The following is a 16,246-nucleotide window of genomic DNA, read 5'->3' as shown; positions in this document are numbered from 1 at the left end:
ACCAAAATCAGGCACATAAATTTTTAACAAGGGTGGAATAAATATATTTAGAGTTTTTCTCTCTGGCCAAGGCTAAGGACATTAAGTAAAAGAACCAAAGAAAACTAGGCCAGGGAAATACTTGAACGTTTAGTTATTTGACTCTTTCTCTGAATATACATCACATCATGACTCACATTCTCCCTATTTCTCTGAATTTCAAGGATACTGTGTCTTCCACTAGGATGCTACACTCTGATATTCTGAGTCCTTTTAGTAAAGTACAACTTCTCCAAATAACTCAGCAAACTGAAAATGAGGTGTCACTTTTTTTTTTTTTTTTTGAGACGGAGTCTCGCTCTGTCACCCAGGCTGGAGTGCAATGGTGCGATCTCGGTTTACTGCAACCTCTGCCTCCCGGGTTCAAGCGATTGTACTGCCTCAGCCTCCTGAGTAGCTGGGATTACAGGTGCGCACCACCATGCCCGGATAATTTTTGCATTTTTAGTAGAGACAGGGTTTCACCATGTTGGGACAGGCTGGTCTCAAACTCCTGACCTCGTGATCTGCCCACCTTGGCCTCCCAAAGTGTTGGGATTACAGGCGTGAGCCACTGTGCCCGGCCGATGTCACATTTTATAAGACCATGAACCCTTTTTAATAAGATGCACCCATGTAACTCATATCATAAGGGATAATGGAGGGAGAAAGGGAGAGAAAAAAATGAACGTAAGGATTTCTGATCTTTTCTTGGAAAAGATTTCCTGTGATCGAGGTGCTGATGCGAAGGCAGTGAGCAGAGGAAAGGAGTAAGCCCTAATAGTGAATTTGCTGAACTTTCCAAATTGGCACATATGAGTAAGGTAGCACACACACGCGTTCACACCCTCACCCCGTGCCATCTCTTGCAGGTCCCCAGGCTTACTGGGAAGCTCTGCCTGACATCACAACATCACAGCATGCATTGAAGTCCAGTTTCATCAAAAATCACAGCTTTATTTTTAACTGATGAACTTGGTATTTGGCTTATCCAAATACTCCAAGTATTAATTCAACCAGATCTTTCTCATTGCCTCAAACAATCTTATTCCAAACTGAAACTGTAATTCATGTGCCAAAAACATTTTGACTTACAGACATTTGTCTGTAGGAGATTTTGGTGGTTTAATAATGAAAAAATGAGAACAGGAATCAGAAATATGAACAGCCTTATGTTCAGATCATAATCATTCTCCTTTCTACCCCTTCCTCACAAGTTCTTTAATGATTCTTTTTTACAATAATAAGGAAATAAATTACCAGCCTCTTATTTTTGGAGACTGGTAATCAAGTCAGCTCCATATTTTCAACTATTCTCATAACCACGATGTATTTAAATGTCCAAACAAGATTTCAGTACTTGGGCTCTAGAGCTTTCCCCCACCCCCAAAAACTCAAGTGAGTTCAACCCATTAAATACAACAATTTGATCTAAGGGGAAAATGATACTACATCCAGGCTTATTCTGTTACGTGATCCAAAGGCAACTTCATATTTCCATTTCAATTACTACCCTCCCTTTATTCTGATTATTTAATAAGTAATGTCCAGTTGCTCCCATGGGAACAACTGAGTTTTTAAATAAATACCCAGAACTGCTTGCATTTATTTATTTATTTATATTTTTTGAGACAGTCTTGCTCTGTCACCCAGGCTGGAGTAGAGTGACACGATCTCCACTCACTGCAACCTCCACCTCCCATGTTCAAGTGACTCTCCCACCTCAGCCTCCCGAGTAGCTGGAACTACACAGACGTGCCACCACAGCCGGCTAATTTTTGTATTTTTTTTTGGTAGAGACGGGGTTTTGCCATGTTGGCCAGGTTGCTCTGAAACGCCTGACCTCAAGTGATCCTCCCACCTCGGCCTCCCAAAGTCCTGGGATTACAGACATGAGCCACTGTGCCCAGCCATTTGCATTTATATTTAATACTAATTTTTAAAATATATTCTTGCTTCTCCTAAATTTCTAAGTATTTATATTTTCCATAACTGTAAAGTTTGCCAAAAACGTTGTACTTTCTGCTGTGGGTTTATTCTTCTTTTCTGAATCATCTTTAATTAACTGGCGTCTGGCTAAGAATAAGCATATGCACAGCTCAAGTCTGCAGAGACAATTTTAACCTCACATTTCTCTCAAGCATCTCTCAAAATCTGTTGACAAAGCAACAGATCAGCCTGATTCCTAAAACTGGGGAATATTGTCGATTTCATTTCCTAAAATGTTTCTGTGGGTAAACTAAAGATGGACATACTTTATTGGATAAGAAAGGCAAAAATAGACCACTGGTGAACAAAATGAATTAACAGTAGGAAAAAAATCCAGTTGACTAAAGGAGAAATTGCATAAAGAATCCAAACACCAATATCAACATGACTCAAAGAGGAAGCTGAGGAAATTTGCCAAAGAGGAAGTACAAAATAGTAATGACAATGAAAGTCAAGATGAATGTTTAACAACGATCTCTATATAAGACACAGCACCCCCCACTGAAAGCAGCTACAGGAAATCTAGAGGTTCTGTCTGGCTTTGCTTTGGGTCATCTTAGCAGCCTAGCTATCAGCACAGGGTAGATTAATCACCCTTCCACAGCTCGAAAAAGGTGTGCTCTTAACTGATTAAATTCTCAGCAAGCAATGAGCTGGTATTTCCAACCTGGGGATATTCCCAGCAGTCACTGGAGAAGGGTCTATCTGAGCAGAGCTAAATTACCTTCTGCTGGAAGATTCCAAAACTTCTGCTCTTCTCCCAGAGTTTCAGCTCAAGGTCTGAAGAAGAGTTTAGCCTGACATACTAAATTAACATCTGAAAAGTTAAAGCAGGGAATAGTAACATACAACTTACAAAAAGGAAAGAATAAGAGAATTTGATAAAGGGAACAGAAGATTGCAAAAGACATGTAAATTACAGAGAAATTAAGTACAGAACGGTTCTCAAGGTGATAATAATGGAAACTAAAAGTTGAAATCGACTAGGAGAAAGACTTAAAATAGGTCACATGCTTTCATGTTTGTGAGAGTTGACTTGCAGCTGCAATATTAGAACTAGCTATGATCATTCTAAAATGACTATCTCTCATCTTTGATAATCCATGGGGCTCCAGTTGAAAATAATTAATCTAATGCCTAAATTATATAAAAGAGAAATGGATGAGTCTACAAATCACAAGCCTCCAAAGAGCTACCTAAACAATAATAATACTAAGAATAATAGACTCATGTTGTAAGCTTCTTAAAGAAAACAAGCCCAGAGAATTTGTAAAATATTAAAATACATTATAAAATACATATCCATTTTTTCACCCTCCTTTGTTCTGTTATTCAAAAATCATCGTAAATGTTACTGTAGCACAAAATAAAGTCTTTTTTTTTTTTCCTGAGGCTGCATTTCTTTTTTTTTTTTTTTTAATTATACTTTAAGTTTTAGGGTACATGTGCACATTGTGCAGGTTAGTTACATATATATACATGTGCCATGCTGGTGCGCTGAACCCACTAACCGTCATCTAGCATTAGGTATATCTCCAGATGCTATCCCTCCCCCCTCCCCCCACCCCACAACAGTCCCCAGAGTGTGATATTCCCCTTCCTGTGTCCATGTGATCTCATTGTTCAATTCCCACCTATGAGTGAGAATATGCGGTGTTTGGTTTTTTGTTCTTGTGATAGTTTACTGAGAATGATGATTTCCAATTTCATCCATGTCCCTACAAAGGACATGAACTCATCATTTTTTATGGCTGCATAGTATTCCATGGTGTATATGTGCCACATTTTCTTAATCCAGTCTATCATTGATGGACATCTGGGTTGGTTCCAAGTCTTTGCTATTGTGAATAATGCCGCAATAAACATACGTGTGCATGTGTCTTTATAGCAGCATGATTTATAGTCCTTTGGGTATATACCCAGTAATGGGATGGCTGGGTCAAATGGTATTTCCAGTTCTAGATCCCTGAGGAATCGCCACACTGACTTCCACAATGGTTGAACTAGTTTACAGTCCCACCAACAGTGTAAAAGTGTTCCTATTTCTCCACATCCTCTCCAGCACCTGTTGTTTCCTGACTTTTTAATGATTGCCATTCTAACTGGTGTGAGATGGTATCTCATTGTGGTTTTGATTTGCATTTCTCTGATGGCCAGTGATGGTGAGCATTTTTTCATGTGTTAATAAAGTCTTTTTTTACATCTGCAAGTAAAACAGAATTCCTCCCTTGAGTTTCTCAAATATAGCCTGTTAACTTAAAAATCACACAATTTATCAATTTAGAAAGGAGAGCTTTATTTCTTTTTTTTTTCATTCTTTCCTTTTCTTTTTTTTTTTTTTATTATACTTTAAGTTTTAGGGTACATGTGCACATTGTGCAGGTTAGTTACATATTTATACATGTGCCATGCTGGTGCACTGCACCCACTAACTCGTCATCTAGCATTAGGTATATCTCCCAATGCTATCCCTCGCCCCTCCCCCCAGCCCACAACAGTCCCCAGAGTGTGATATTCCCCTTCCTGTGTCCATGTGACCTCATTGTTCACTTCCCACCTATGAGTGAGAATATGGAGAGCTTTATTTCTTAAAAGGGGGTTACAGCCTGCAAGGTTGCCATTCTAACAGGCTGGGAAGCATAGCCTCCGGCAGAAGCCATTAGCAGGCACTTTAAGGGAGGGACAGGTAAGACAGGAATTTACACAGAATAGGTTGACCAAGGCCGGCAGGGTGGCTCACGCTTGTAATCCCAGCACTTTGGGAGACCGAGGCAGGTGGATCACGAGGTCAGGAGATTGAGACCATCCTGGCTAACACGGTGAAACCCCATCTCTACTAAAAATACAAAAAATTAGCCGGGCGTGGTGGCCGGTGCCTGTAGTCCCAGCTACTCCGGCGGCTGAGGCAGGAGAATGGCGTGAACCCGGGAAGTGGAGCTTGCAGTGAGCTGAGATGCACCACCGCACTGCAGCCTGGGCGACAGAGCGAGACTCCATCTTAAAAAAAAAAAAAAAAAAAAAAAAAAAAACAAGAATAGGTTGACCAAGTATACATATTCCACAGGTTATAGCAGGAGCTATGAATATTCATGAAGGTGGTCCTAATGCATGCATACTGAATAAGCATACATGTTATATACAACTTATGTTCACCTTAGGGTGGAGACTTAACATTTACATGTATTACAATTAGGCCCTCTATGTAAAAGGTCTTTTCAGAACACAAAGGCACTCAAGTGTCTCTAAATAGGCCAGAAGCAGTCCACAGTTGGTCTTTGTATCAGAAGAAAGTTACTGAAATCAGTCTCTTTTCTAATGAAAGCTGCAGTTACAGCTGGTGGAACAGAGAGTCAGTCAGTCAGCATCTGGCGGTGCAAGGACTGCCATGGTTTTAAGATAGCTCATCTCTAGGACAGTGCTCGTTTAGCCGCTAGAGAAAAAGAAAACCCAGGTGGCAGTCAGAAGGTAGTTTACTCTTTAGGTGCAGGGGTGTGAGACTTATCCCTGCCTGGCATGGCCTTAGGTCTTGTTTATAATTTGGTATCTTATTGCCACCGAGAGTCTGTTCCATCAGTTCTTATGATCTCGTTTTAGCATTGATGCTGCTCTGTTGTTATGTCTAAGCTACAAAAGGGAGGGATTATAACAAGGCAAATCCGACCTCCCGGCCCACTGGGGCTGGGAACTCAGTTTGTATGGAGTCTCTGGGGTCTCCTTGGCCAAGAGGGAATCCGTTCAGTGGTTGGGGGCTTAAGATTTTATTTTTAATTTACAACGCAATGAAAACTGGAAATGGGGGTCCTGTTTTATTGGGAACCTACATTTCCTGGTGAGCAGCATCTGTACCCAGCCAGATAAGGGGGATTTTCAAATCTCTTCCTTCTTTTCCAATCCTCTTCCTCCTTTACCAGATTATAGTCTGGTAAACTTTTCCACGTTGCCTGTAATGACGACTTTCCAGAAGAAAACGGGAGGATATACAATGGTGAGGCGAGGTCTAAGCTCTGAGCTGCAGCAGCAGTGCTTGGAAAGCAGGCTTTGCTCAGGTCCATGCTCTAGGGACCAGCCCTAAGGAAAGTGCCAGCTGGAGCACCGTGGCCTGTGGATGGTCACAGCCTGCCCAGGGAACTTTAAGGAGGAACTTAACATAGAGCTCCTAGGAATAGAATTATGAGGGGTTTTTAGGCAGCTTATTTTAACTTATTTCATAAAATACTAAAGTGCAAAGTATTGTAGAACCAGAAAAGACCTTCCACGCCACCCAGTTCAAACCCTCTTTTCACAGACAAGTAATACCAGTTCCTCTAGCCCTGGGGCGGGGCCTTGCTTTCCAGTTTCTCTTCCTCTCACATTTCTTTCTTTGGAACGTCTGACAGACCTCTCTGACTTGAGACAGTTGCCTGTTTGGTCTTCCCAGGCTGTCTATTTTTAGATACACCTTGGCTCCAATCCAATCAGGCAACACTAGGCACACAGAGACAACCATCCCTGGCCTGGAGGGACATCCATTCTCTTTTCCTTGGGCCCACAGACCCACGGCTCTGCTGGGCTGGACTTCTTTCCATTGCTGGACTAAGCACTCTGTCCAAGGCCTGGTCTCTCCCAGGCCATCAGTGTGAACCATCTCTGGATTCCCTCTGCATTAAAAATTCGCCAAAGACGTGAGGGCACTGCTTTTACGGCTGTGTGAACTTGGACCCTCAGCAGCCTCATCTGCAAAATGGGCATAAAAACAATATATTGCCCAACAAACCTTATAGGGTTATTGTAAGCAAGTATGACAGTTTGTAAATAACAGAGATATTAAAATTAGTGTATGAGTATCAACACCAGTCTAACTAAGAAGGACAGACAGGATAAATTTGAGTGGAGAGGGCACACCTGCAGGGAGGTCCTGAATGCTGCAGATGTCGCCTATGCAGGGAAGCCTCACTCCGGGCACCCATCTGGCCAGCATTGCTCACACACTTCTGTCTCACTGCATTTGCTGTCTTGGCAAATATTTTTCTGCCTCATGAATTCCTGAGAAAAGCAAGATGTCTACTTTACTTAAAAAGGGGAGTAGGGGGAAAAGAAAACCCTGTAATCCCAGTGACCCAGGAGGCTGAGGTGGAAAGATCACTTGAGGACAGGAGTTCAAGTCTAACCTGGCAACATAGCAAGACCCCCATCTCTATAAAAAATTAAAAAATTAGCCTGGCATGGTGACATGCACCTATAATCCTAGCACTTGGAAGGCTGAGGCAGGAGGATCACTTGAGCTCAGGAGTAAAATGCTGCAATGAGCCATGATCATACCACTGTACTCCAGCCTGTGGGACAGAGGGAAACCCCATCTCTAAAAAAGAGAGAAAAGTCCTTACCAAAAAAAAGAGGGGGAAAATCAGAATTTCCTAGAAAAATGCAAAGCTCTCCTCTTTCTCCAGATGATGTCTAATGCTCTCAGTCCCATAAAGCCATTGTCTTGGCAAACCAGTCAGGTAGAAGGCAAAGACAGAGGAGAGAGAAAGACAAAGCCCAGAAGTGGAGATTAAAGAACAACAATCTTCACGAATGGAAAAGCAGCTTGGAGACTGCTGATATGCTGCAGGGATATTCTCTGCAGTCTGTGCGTGACTCCAGTTTGGTGGCTGCCTCGCACTACCCCCGGGGCAAGAGCATTAATGGGACCCCTCCCACACAGCTGCTTCCACGCAACCCTCTTTGAGAATCTCTACCAGGATCCTAGATTCAGGATCAGTTTTCCAATTCAGGCCTTGCTGTTTCACTGTCTCCTCACTCTAATAAGATATGTTTCTGAGGGAAAAGAGGAACTATTGATTTTTTTTTCCCATTCAGTTGTGAGCTGGTGAATTACATTATTTCAAATCTCACTTGCAAGGAGGACTGACATCAGCAGGGACTGCATGTTGTGGACTGAGCACAGGTGTGATGAGGATGCCTGCAGCACCCTGCATAATCAGTGCCCCCCGCCAGGGAGCCCTGGGCAGTTTAGCTAGTGGCTGGGGGCATGGATACTGCAGAAGGCCTGGCTCCTCTCCACCCGCGAGCCTCCCCAGCCCAGCCCTGCCGCGAGGCTCCCAGACTCTCCAACCAAGGCCCAGCCAGCCCTCCTGTAACCAGGGGTTGAGTTTGTTTCACACTTTGTGCCAATGGTTTGCAAAAGATGTGACATGTTTCTTCCAAATGCACAACAAGCGACAATTCATCCATGAGCTGCCAGAACACATTTCACATGAAGCATGAAAAATCCGAGGAGCTGAGGAATGAAGAACTCAACCCCAGATGAATACAAGCCAGTCAAGCATTTCTAAAGAATGTTAGAAAGCATCCTAGGCAGCCCTCCACGTCATCACTGTGATTATTACTATAATTATTCCTCCCTCACTTTGCCGTTAGCCATATGCATGCTACATGAGGTCACAGGCTGCCCTCCCCTGGTTTTCCAGACACATAAAACCAACAAGAAGCCAGGGGAGGCTGAGCTAATGGTGCTAGACAGAGAGGAGCTGCAAATCACCATTCTCCTCAATTTACGCCAAATAAATAGATGGAACCTCATGCCCACATGGAGGGATGTGATCCACAGAAAATCTTGGACACTGTCACCTCCTCCCTGTGTCCCCCATCTTTTCCCTCTCCTCCCTCCCCCACCCCCACATCACAATCCCATTACAGAGAATGGGAATGCAGTCAGCAGGGGGTAGAACAAGAACCATGGGTTTCGTGTGGGAGAAGAACCAAGCTCACTGGGTAAAAGTGGTTCTTCTAAGACCCTCACATCAAAGGAAGACTTGCAGGAGAAAACAAGGCACTTGTTTTAAAGCAGGGGGGTTGAAATCCCAGGGATGAGAGAAATTCAAATGAACATATCTTTTAAGTGGTTCCTGTCCTTTCATGCACCCCTGCTCTGTCAGCTTCCATACTGTGGAGCTCCTCATTCTCCAGTGCTTAAAAAGGGTTCTCCTTTTGTTCACTGGAAGAAAACCATTTTTGTTGGCTCTACTCAAAAAGTGTCTATGATGTCTCTGGGATGGTAACACTTCATCTCCTCCTGCTAAGTTATTTGATCCAGAACACAGACATTGGAAAATTCAAATGGCTTCTTTGATTTCTGTTATCACACCCAAACCGAAAATCACTGGGTGTCCTTGACCCCAGCACATGCCCTCTACTTCCAGCCCATCTCTGACATTGGCCAGGGGGTTCCCAACAAGCCACAGTCAGAAACGATGGCCTCCATGTAAGCACGTAAGTCTCCACCAGTGATACATCCAGAAATGTCACATGCTATTAGGAAGTTTCTTTTCAAGTTGTTGGGTCGTTGTCCACGAAACAAAGCATATTGCAATTGCATGTTAGAAAGTTGAGTAAATTACAAACAGACAGCACCCTGAGTTTGTATCTGGCCTCTATGAAAATCCTTATAGATGATGATAACAGTCGTGATGTTGAGTGATCTGTTTCTCTAGGTTTTGTAACAATACTAGTCTCTGCAACTTCTCTTTATAAGACTTCAAGGTTTTCCTGTTTCACAATTTGTCTGGCTCTCTCCATCTGGCCTAAGAAGAGCCTATTCTCATGAACAATGAAGGCAGCTATTGATGTATGTAAGATGGGTTCATTTGGCTAAATATACCTACTGGATATTATCCCTAAGTCAGCATTTTCTAAAAGACAACCAATACTTCATAGCAAAAATTAGGTTAACAGGATCATGTCCAATTAGTTAAAAATACTAGACCAAGCAATCTCTCTGACCTGTTGAGCCAGCTGGTTCTACACTGGTTTCTTTCAAATGCTTCACTTCTGCAGATCCATGCTGCAGCCCATCAGCTTGGAAAAGACATATCTTCCTTCTCAAATGGAAAGCCCAAATATTGATGACGGGTTTCTCTAGTTGATGGTTACGGCAGGGAGCAGTCTGATGCCTCACCTCCCTACGGTGGAAGAAAGGAAGCTGACCAATCAAAGTGTGCACCTACACAGCCCACACTGCCCTCCAGATGCGGCGATACCTCCCTGCACCTCAAAGTAAATTAGACTGATGCCAAGGATCACCTCTTGAGAATCACCCAGATAATGAGGATGTCTCAGGGTGGCCACACTCCAGCCACACAAAACTCCAGCCAGTGCTGATGGCCTCTGCTCACCATGAGTGTTCCATGCTGCAGGCACCTGTATAACTTCCTTATCGCAGGAGAAAAAGGTCATGTTATTAACTAGTCATTAGATTGTCCAGGTTTTTTGTACCTTTTAACTGCTCTGGTTTATTCCTACCCTCCCATGAAACTCTTCGTCCTTACATTCCTTTTTTTTTTCTTTGAGTCAGGGTCTTGCTCTGTTGCCCTGGCTGGACTGCAGTGGCACAATCATAGTTCACTGTAATCTCGAACTCCAGGGCTTGAGCAACCTTCCTGCCTCAGCCTCCCGAGTAGCTAGGACTACAAGTACACTCAATCATGCCTGGCTAATTTTTTTTATTTTTATTTTTTTATTTTTGTAGAGATTAGGTGTCAAATTCCTGGACTCAAGCATTCTTCCCGCCTTGGCCTCCCAAAGTGCTGGGATTATAGGTGTGAGCCACTGTTCCCAGCCTCATCCTTACATTCCCAAGATCTCCTCCTACATGAAGCCTTCATGGTTTCTGAAAGTCCTTGAGATACCCAGGTTTTCCTATAGTCACCTCAGCACAAAAACGTGGCAGCCTGTTCTTGACCTGACCTCTGTAATCTCAGTGGGAATGTTCGGATTGGGGATGGTGGATTCTCCCAGAGGACCCCACAGACAGCAGTGCCCCATGTTCAAGATCATCCTCATATATAATTTCCCTAACAGCATCATAAAATCAGAGAGCCACAACTTTTGAAATGCCTTTCAAGAACCTATCCAATTGGCTGGGCGCAGTGGCTCACGCCTGTAATCTCAGCACTTTGGGAGGCCAAGGAGGGCAGATCATGAGGTCAGGAAATTAAGACCATCCTGGCTAACATGGTGAAACCCTGTCTCTACTAAAAATACAAAAAATTAGCTGGGTGTGCTGGCACAAGCCTGTAGTCCCAGCTACTCAGGAGGCTGAGGCAGGAAAATCGCTTGAACCTGGGAGGCGGAGGTTGCAGTGAGCCGAGATCGCACCACTGCACTCCAGCCTGGGTGACAGAGAGAGACTCTATCTCAAAACATACAAACAAACAAACAAACAAATAAAAACCTATCAAAGCACTAGATTACTCAGTAAAAGTCACACATTCATGCCTTCTCTGTGACTCATCCTGATTAAAAGGCAAACCAGAGGATACAGGTAGAAAACCAGACCAAGTCCTGGGCTCAGTTCTATCAGCCAACCACACTGTGGAGCTCCTAGTTTTAGATGAGGAAAGAGAATTAGTCATAGAAATAGCTTCCTTGGCTCTCTGGAAGGAAACCATCTTTTATTGATTCAGGCCCAAAGACAGCCATAGTTGTACACAAGATGGTCTCTTACTAGCTACATCATCAGGGAAACTTTCTGAGTTTTTGATTCCTCAGTTGCAAAATGAGAACATAACAGCCTACCCACCACACCAAGGCAATAGCTGAAGAATGGTTCTGAAAGTGCAGGTGGGAGAGAACAAGCTGTATTCAAGGGACCCGTTTCATTTGGATGAAAACCGGCAACAATCCAAATCTCTTCCCCCTCTCCATGGGCATGAGCCATGGAGAGTTCTGCCTGGAAATATTCGGGATAGAAGGGGAATGGGAGGAGATCTTAAGTAACTCCCTAGAATAGCATGTGCCGCTTGCTTTTATAGGCTGGATAGGATGTGATACATGTGGAAGACAGAACAGTCGTTCACTAAATACAGTAAGATATATTTGGACGGGTAGTTTGAAGGCCTTCAGAAGACTGAAATTTCCATTGTAAAGACGACGACTGGAAGCACAATAAAGTGCTTAGTACCATCCAGGCTCTGCTGAGAGTTTTCTATGTACTACCTCGGTTCATCCATGTGATAGCTCTATAAGGTAGAAATTATTATCAACACCCCTTTCCTCAAATCGGCCAATAATGAGTTGAGTGAGGAGTTAACCTTCAACTCCAGACAATCAGGTGGCAGAGTCCGTATTCTCAACCACTACAGGTGGTGAGTTGTAGGAAGTCTTTTCTTCAGCACAGTGGCCAAGCCGACCATTGCTCCCACTCCCGGCTCTACCCACGTAGCACTTGCAGTCCTTACTGCTCATCTACCCATTCGGGTGCCACTCACTTTTTTGTCCAACATGTGTAAGTGTGCGTTCTGTATGTCTCAGAAATGAGAGTATGAGCTCTTGAAGGGCAAGAAAGATTGGGTGCAATGGCTAAAACCTGTAATCCCAGCACTTCAGGACGCTAAGGCAGGAGGATCGCTTGAGCCCAGGAATTCAAGAGCAACCTGGGCAACATAGAAATACTTCACCTCTACAAAAAAATAAAAACAAAAAAATAGCCGGATGTGGTGACCCAAGCCTGTGGTCCCAGCTCCTCCAGAGGCTGAGGCAGGGAGGATCGCTTGAGCCCAGGAGTTCAAGAACAGCATGGGCAACATAGAGAGACACCATTTCTGCAAAAAACTTAAAAAAAAAAAAAAATAGCCAGATGTGGAGGCTCAAGCCTGTGATTCCAGCTACTCCAGATGCTGAGGCAGAAAGGATCACTTAAACCCAGGAATTTGAAGCTATAGTGAGCCATGATTGTGCCACTGTGCTCCAGCCTGGGCAACAAAGCAAGACCCTGTCTCTTAAAAATAAATAAATAAATAAAGGGCAAAAAGTAGATGTGTATCTTATAGACATTCCATGATACAGAATACAGGGATGATTCTCACTCCAGAGTAGAGTGGAGAAGACCGGGCTTCAGAATTAATGAACAGGAGTGTAAATATCAGTTTTCTCTCTTATTAATTAGGACTTTGGGCAAATTATAACCTTCTTAAACGTTTTTCCTCACCTGTAAAATGAATACAACAACCGAAGTAACTCATAGAGTCAGCTTATAACACTGCCTGGTACATGGTAAGCACCCAATACATTTTAGCTACCAGTAACAATCCATTCTTCCAGATGGGAACTTTGCCATTGGGTGTCCCTCTCTCAATAGCTTGCCTCTTCCCTTAGTGAGAGGCATAGTTCATCCAGATGATCGTCCTCAGCAAAAGTTGGCATTAGGATCTCTAACCAATTGAATTCCAACAGTTCTCAAAGGGAGAGAGGGTGTCCTGAGGGTGTTTGGAAATGGGGAGGGTGCATATTGGAATGGGGAGGGTCGCTGGCATTTAGTGGGTTAAGTGGCCAGGATGTGAAATAACTTGCAATGTTCAGGACTGCCCCACACCGTGAAGAATTTTCCCACCCAAAACACCAATGGTGCTTCCACTGAAAAATACAGACTGCTTGGGAAATGTTTAGAAATGAAAGACAGCAGACAAAATCATTCCAATGAACAGGTCAAAGAGGCGAGCGACCCAAAATCAGTTAGGAAATCAGCAGTACCTCCTTATGGTTTCCGGTGGCTCTGCATGGAAGGGAATCTGACCGGCTGAGGCCAGGGTGTCCTGCAAGGCCTTGCTGACCTCCTGCAGCTGACCCAGGGACAGCTGGCCCACCAGTGGGGTCAGGTCGCAGCCCTGCCACTGGAGTTGCTGCTCTTGCTCCTCTATTTCCCTTCTCAGCTGTTGATCTTTGGCTTCCAGCACAAACATCCTTGCTTGGAGAGCTTCGATTTCTTTCTGTAGAGAATGAGGAGACAAGATTTTATAAATTAACCCTGCTCATGGCAAACTGCTCTGAGGATAATGACTCGTTTAAATGAGAATTGGCCATATGCACCAGAACTACAAAACTCCCCTTCTGAGGCAGGCAGATTTTTGGAGGTTTGCTGAACTGGAAAAATCATGCCAGCTTTATATTTCTAATGAGTTGGCATAAGGAAAAACATTCCCTCCCAAGCATTAAATAACTATGGGGGGTGAGCCAAGAATTTGACTTGGAAGAACCCAGCAGATACATAAATGACTTACTTCATTTCGGATGGATGAGTTAGGACACAGGGCAGGGAGCCTCATGCACCTGAGGTCTGAGCTAAGCAGGTTACCCCAGCCACAGACCAAAACAAGAAATGCAACTGACCCTTTGTTAGTCTGTCCCCAAACACAAGAATTCAGAGTACAGAGAAAGGTAAAAAATGGCTTCTTAAGTCTACAGGACTGAGAGAAGAATGAGATGCTGCAGATGGTGCCATGCAGTCTAAAGTTCATGAAAATATAAATAAATGTTAATTTCTACGAATATAGCAAACTGAAATCCAAATAATCCATAAAATATCATTTAATATTAAGGTCAATTAACTAAACAAGCAGCAGGTAATGAATGCCCGTCATGTGCACAGTGTTATAGTAGATCATCGTCTCACTGCCCATATGATTCTGAATAAAAAATAAGACTCTTAATTAACATACTCCCATGTTTTGTGGGGATAAGAGTGCAACTCTAATCCTGGGTGTCTCCTAACCTCTTATTCACGTTCTCTCAGCCCCGAGGTGCATCACCTACAACTTCTACCTCCTGAACCCACTTCAAGTCTGGGAGTGGGGAGAAGAATTGGGAGTTACTAAAGAATGTCTACTACCAAGACATTCTAAGAAAAAAGTAATGCCTCAGTGTCCCCAATTGCTCCAAGATTACAGTATTACTGACAAAGTCTCTCAACTAACCTCTCTACCTCCACTTTTGACTTCCTCTACCCTATTCATTTCTTTTTCTTTTAGTTTTTTAACTGGTAAAACACACATAGCATAAAATTCACCATCTTGAGCATTTTTAAGTGTAGAGTTCAGTGGCATTAAGTACATTCACACTGTTGTACAACCATCACTGCCATCCATCCACAGAACTCTTTTCATCTTGCAAAACTGAGACTCTGTACCCATTGAAAACTAATTCCCCATTATCCTCTCTTCCTCCAAGTCCCTGGGAATCACCATTCTACTTTCTCTATGAATTTGACTCCTCTAGGTAACTCAGACAAGTGGAATCATACAGCATTTATCCTTTTGCAACCAGTGTATTTCACTTAGCATAATGTCCTCAAGGTTCAACCATGCTGTAGCGTGTGTCAGAATTTCCTTCCGAGACTAATATCTCATTACATGTACATACTCATTTTGTTTATCATTTATCTGTTGATGAGCACTTGAGTTGTTATCACCTTTTGGCTATTGTGTATAACGCTGCTATGAACATGGGTGTGTAAACATCTCTTTGAGTCTGTGCATTCAATTTTTTTGAGACAGATATATACCCAGAAGGGGGGGTGGCTGGACCACACAGTCAATCAATTTTTAATCTTTTAAGGAAGCTGCATACTGTTTTCCTATTGTCTTACATCCTATTCCTAATACAGGAGTCAAATTATTTACAATGTGGTCAGATCATGTCACTTCACTGCTTAACACCATCCAATGGTTCCCTGTTGCAATCTGAGAAAAGTCCACATCCTTACAAGGCCCCTTTATCTCTGACTTCCTCCCCAAATCCTCCCCCTCATTTACACTGCTCCAGCCACATGGGCCTCCAGCTGCCCTCTGAACACAGGAGGCCCACTCCCACTCTAAGCCTTCATGTTGGTATCCCCCTGCAGGATCCTCTTGCAGAAATTTCTGCAAGGCCTACTCCCTCTCCTCTTTGAACTGTTGGGTCCAATCTCACTTCTCAATGAGTAGACTCCATCCTCTTCCACATCATCTTAGTCTACTCTGTGAAGCTCTTATCACCCTATAACATACCAGTTGTCTAATAGAGGTTTTATTATGTTTATCACTTATTGTCTATCTCCCCATTCTCACCCCTAGTGGATCAAAAGCTCCCCAGGAATCTCAAGCACTTCAAACAGTATCTGGCACTTAGTGAACCCTTAATAAATGTCTGTTGAATAAATGAATATTCAAGTACCTTTCCCAGAGTGCTTCAAACACTAAGTGCCCAGGGCTAAAATTATTTTCTGTACACTCTGACTGTCTCAGGAATTGTGTAGACCTTTAATTGGCAAATGTTATTAAAAATCAAAAACCAGATTTCACATTTTCAGCTATCCAAACGTTATAATGATGCACATTGACTGTGTAAGTGCTCAGTTAATGGGGGAAATAATTTCAAATAAATTGCCCTGACTTTTTCCTCCCTTTGCCACCTTACTCTTGCAGTGACCTGGATGGGGCAAATTCAG

General features: G+C 43.2%; 1 protein-coding gene and 1 long non-coding RNA gene across 22 annotated transcripts in view; both read right to left on the bottom strand.

Moving 5' to 3' along the window:
- The window catches only part of TSNAX-DISC1 (TSNAX-DISC1 readthrough (NMD candidate)), a 512,620-nt gene that overhangs the window by 256,687 nt on the left and 239,687 nt on the right, over positions 1 to 16,246 (bottom strand). For all 6 annotated transcript variants that reach the window (NR_028393.1, NR_028394.1, NR_028395.1 and 3 more), the window contains one exon: positions 13,516 to 13,751. This is a non-coding gene — a long non-coding RNA (TSNAX-DISC1 readthrough (NMD candidate)). The remainder of the gene's footprint in view (positions 1 to 13,515; positions 13,752 to 16,246) is intronic.
- The window catches only part of DISC1 (DISC1 scaffold protein), a 414,483-nt gene that overhangs the window by 256,687 nt on the left and 141,550 nt on the right, over positions 1 to 16,246 (bottom strand). For 14 of the 16 annotated variants that reach the window (NM_001164537.2, NM_018662.3, NM_001012957.2 and 11 more), the window contains one exon: positions 13,516 to 13,751. The exons of 1 other annotated variant lie outside the window; for it this stretch is intronic. In NM_001164537.2, coding sequence (NP_001158009.1) covers positions 13,516 to 13,751 — 236 coding nt within the window. Of the gene's footprint in view, positions 1 to 12,923; positions 13,752 to 16,246 lie in introns of those variants that run through there. One more of the 16 variants, NM_001164549.2, reaches the window with a different exon arrangement.

Source organism: Homo sapiens, chromosome 1 (assembly GCF_000001405.40).
Source record: "Homo sapiens chromosome 1, GRCh38.p14 Primary Assembly".
Lineage (NCBI taxonomy): Eukaryota > Metazoa > Chordata > Mammalia > Primates > Hominidae > Homo > Homo sapiens.
This window is presented reverse-complemented; position numbering and strand designations above follow the sequence as displayed.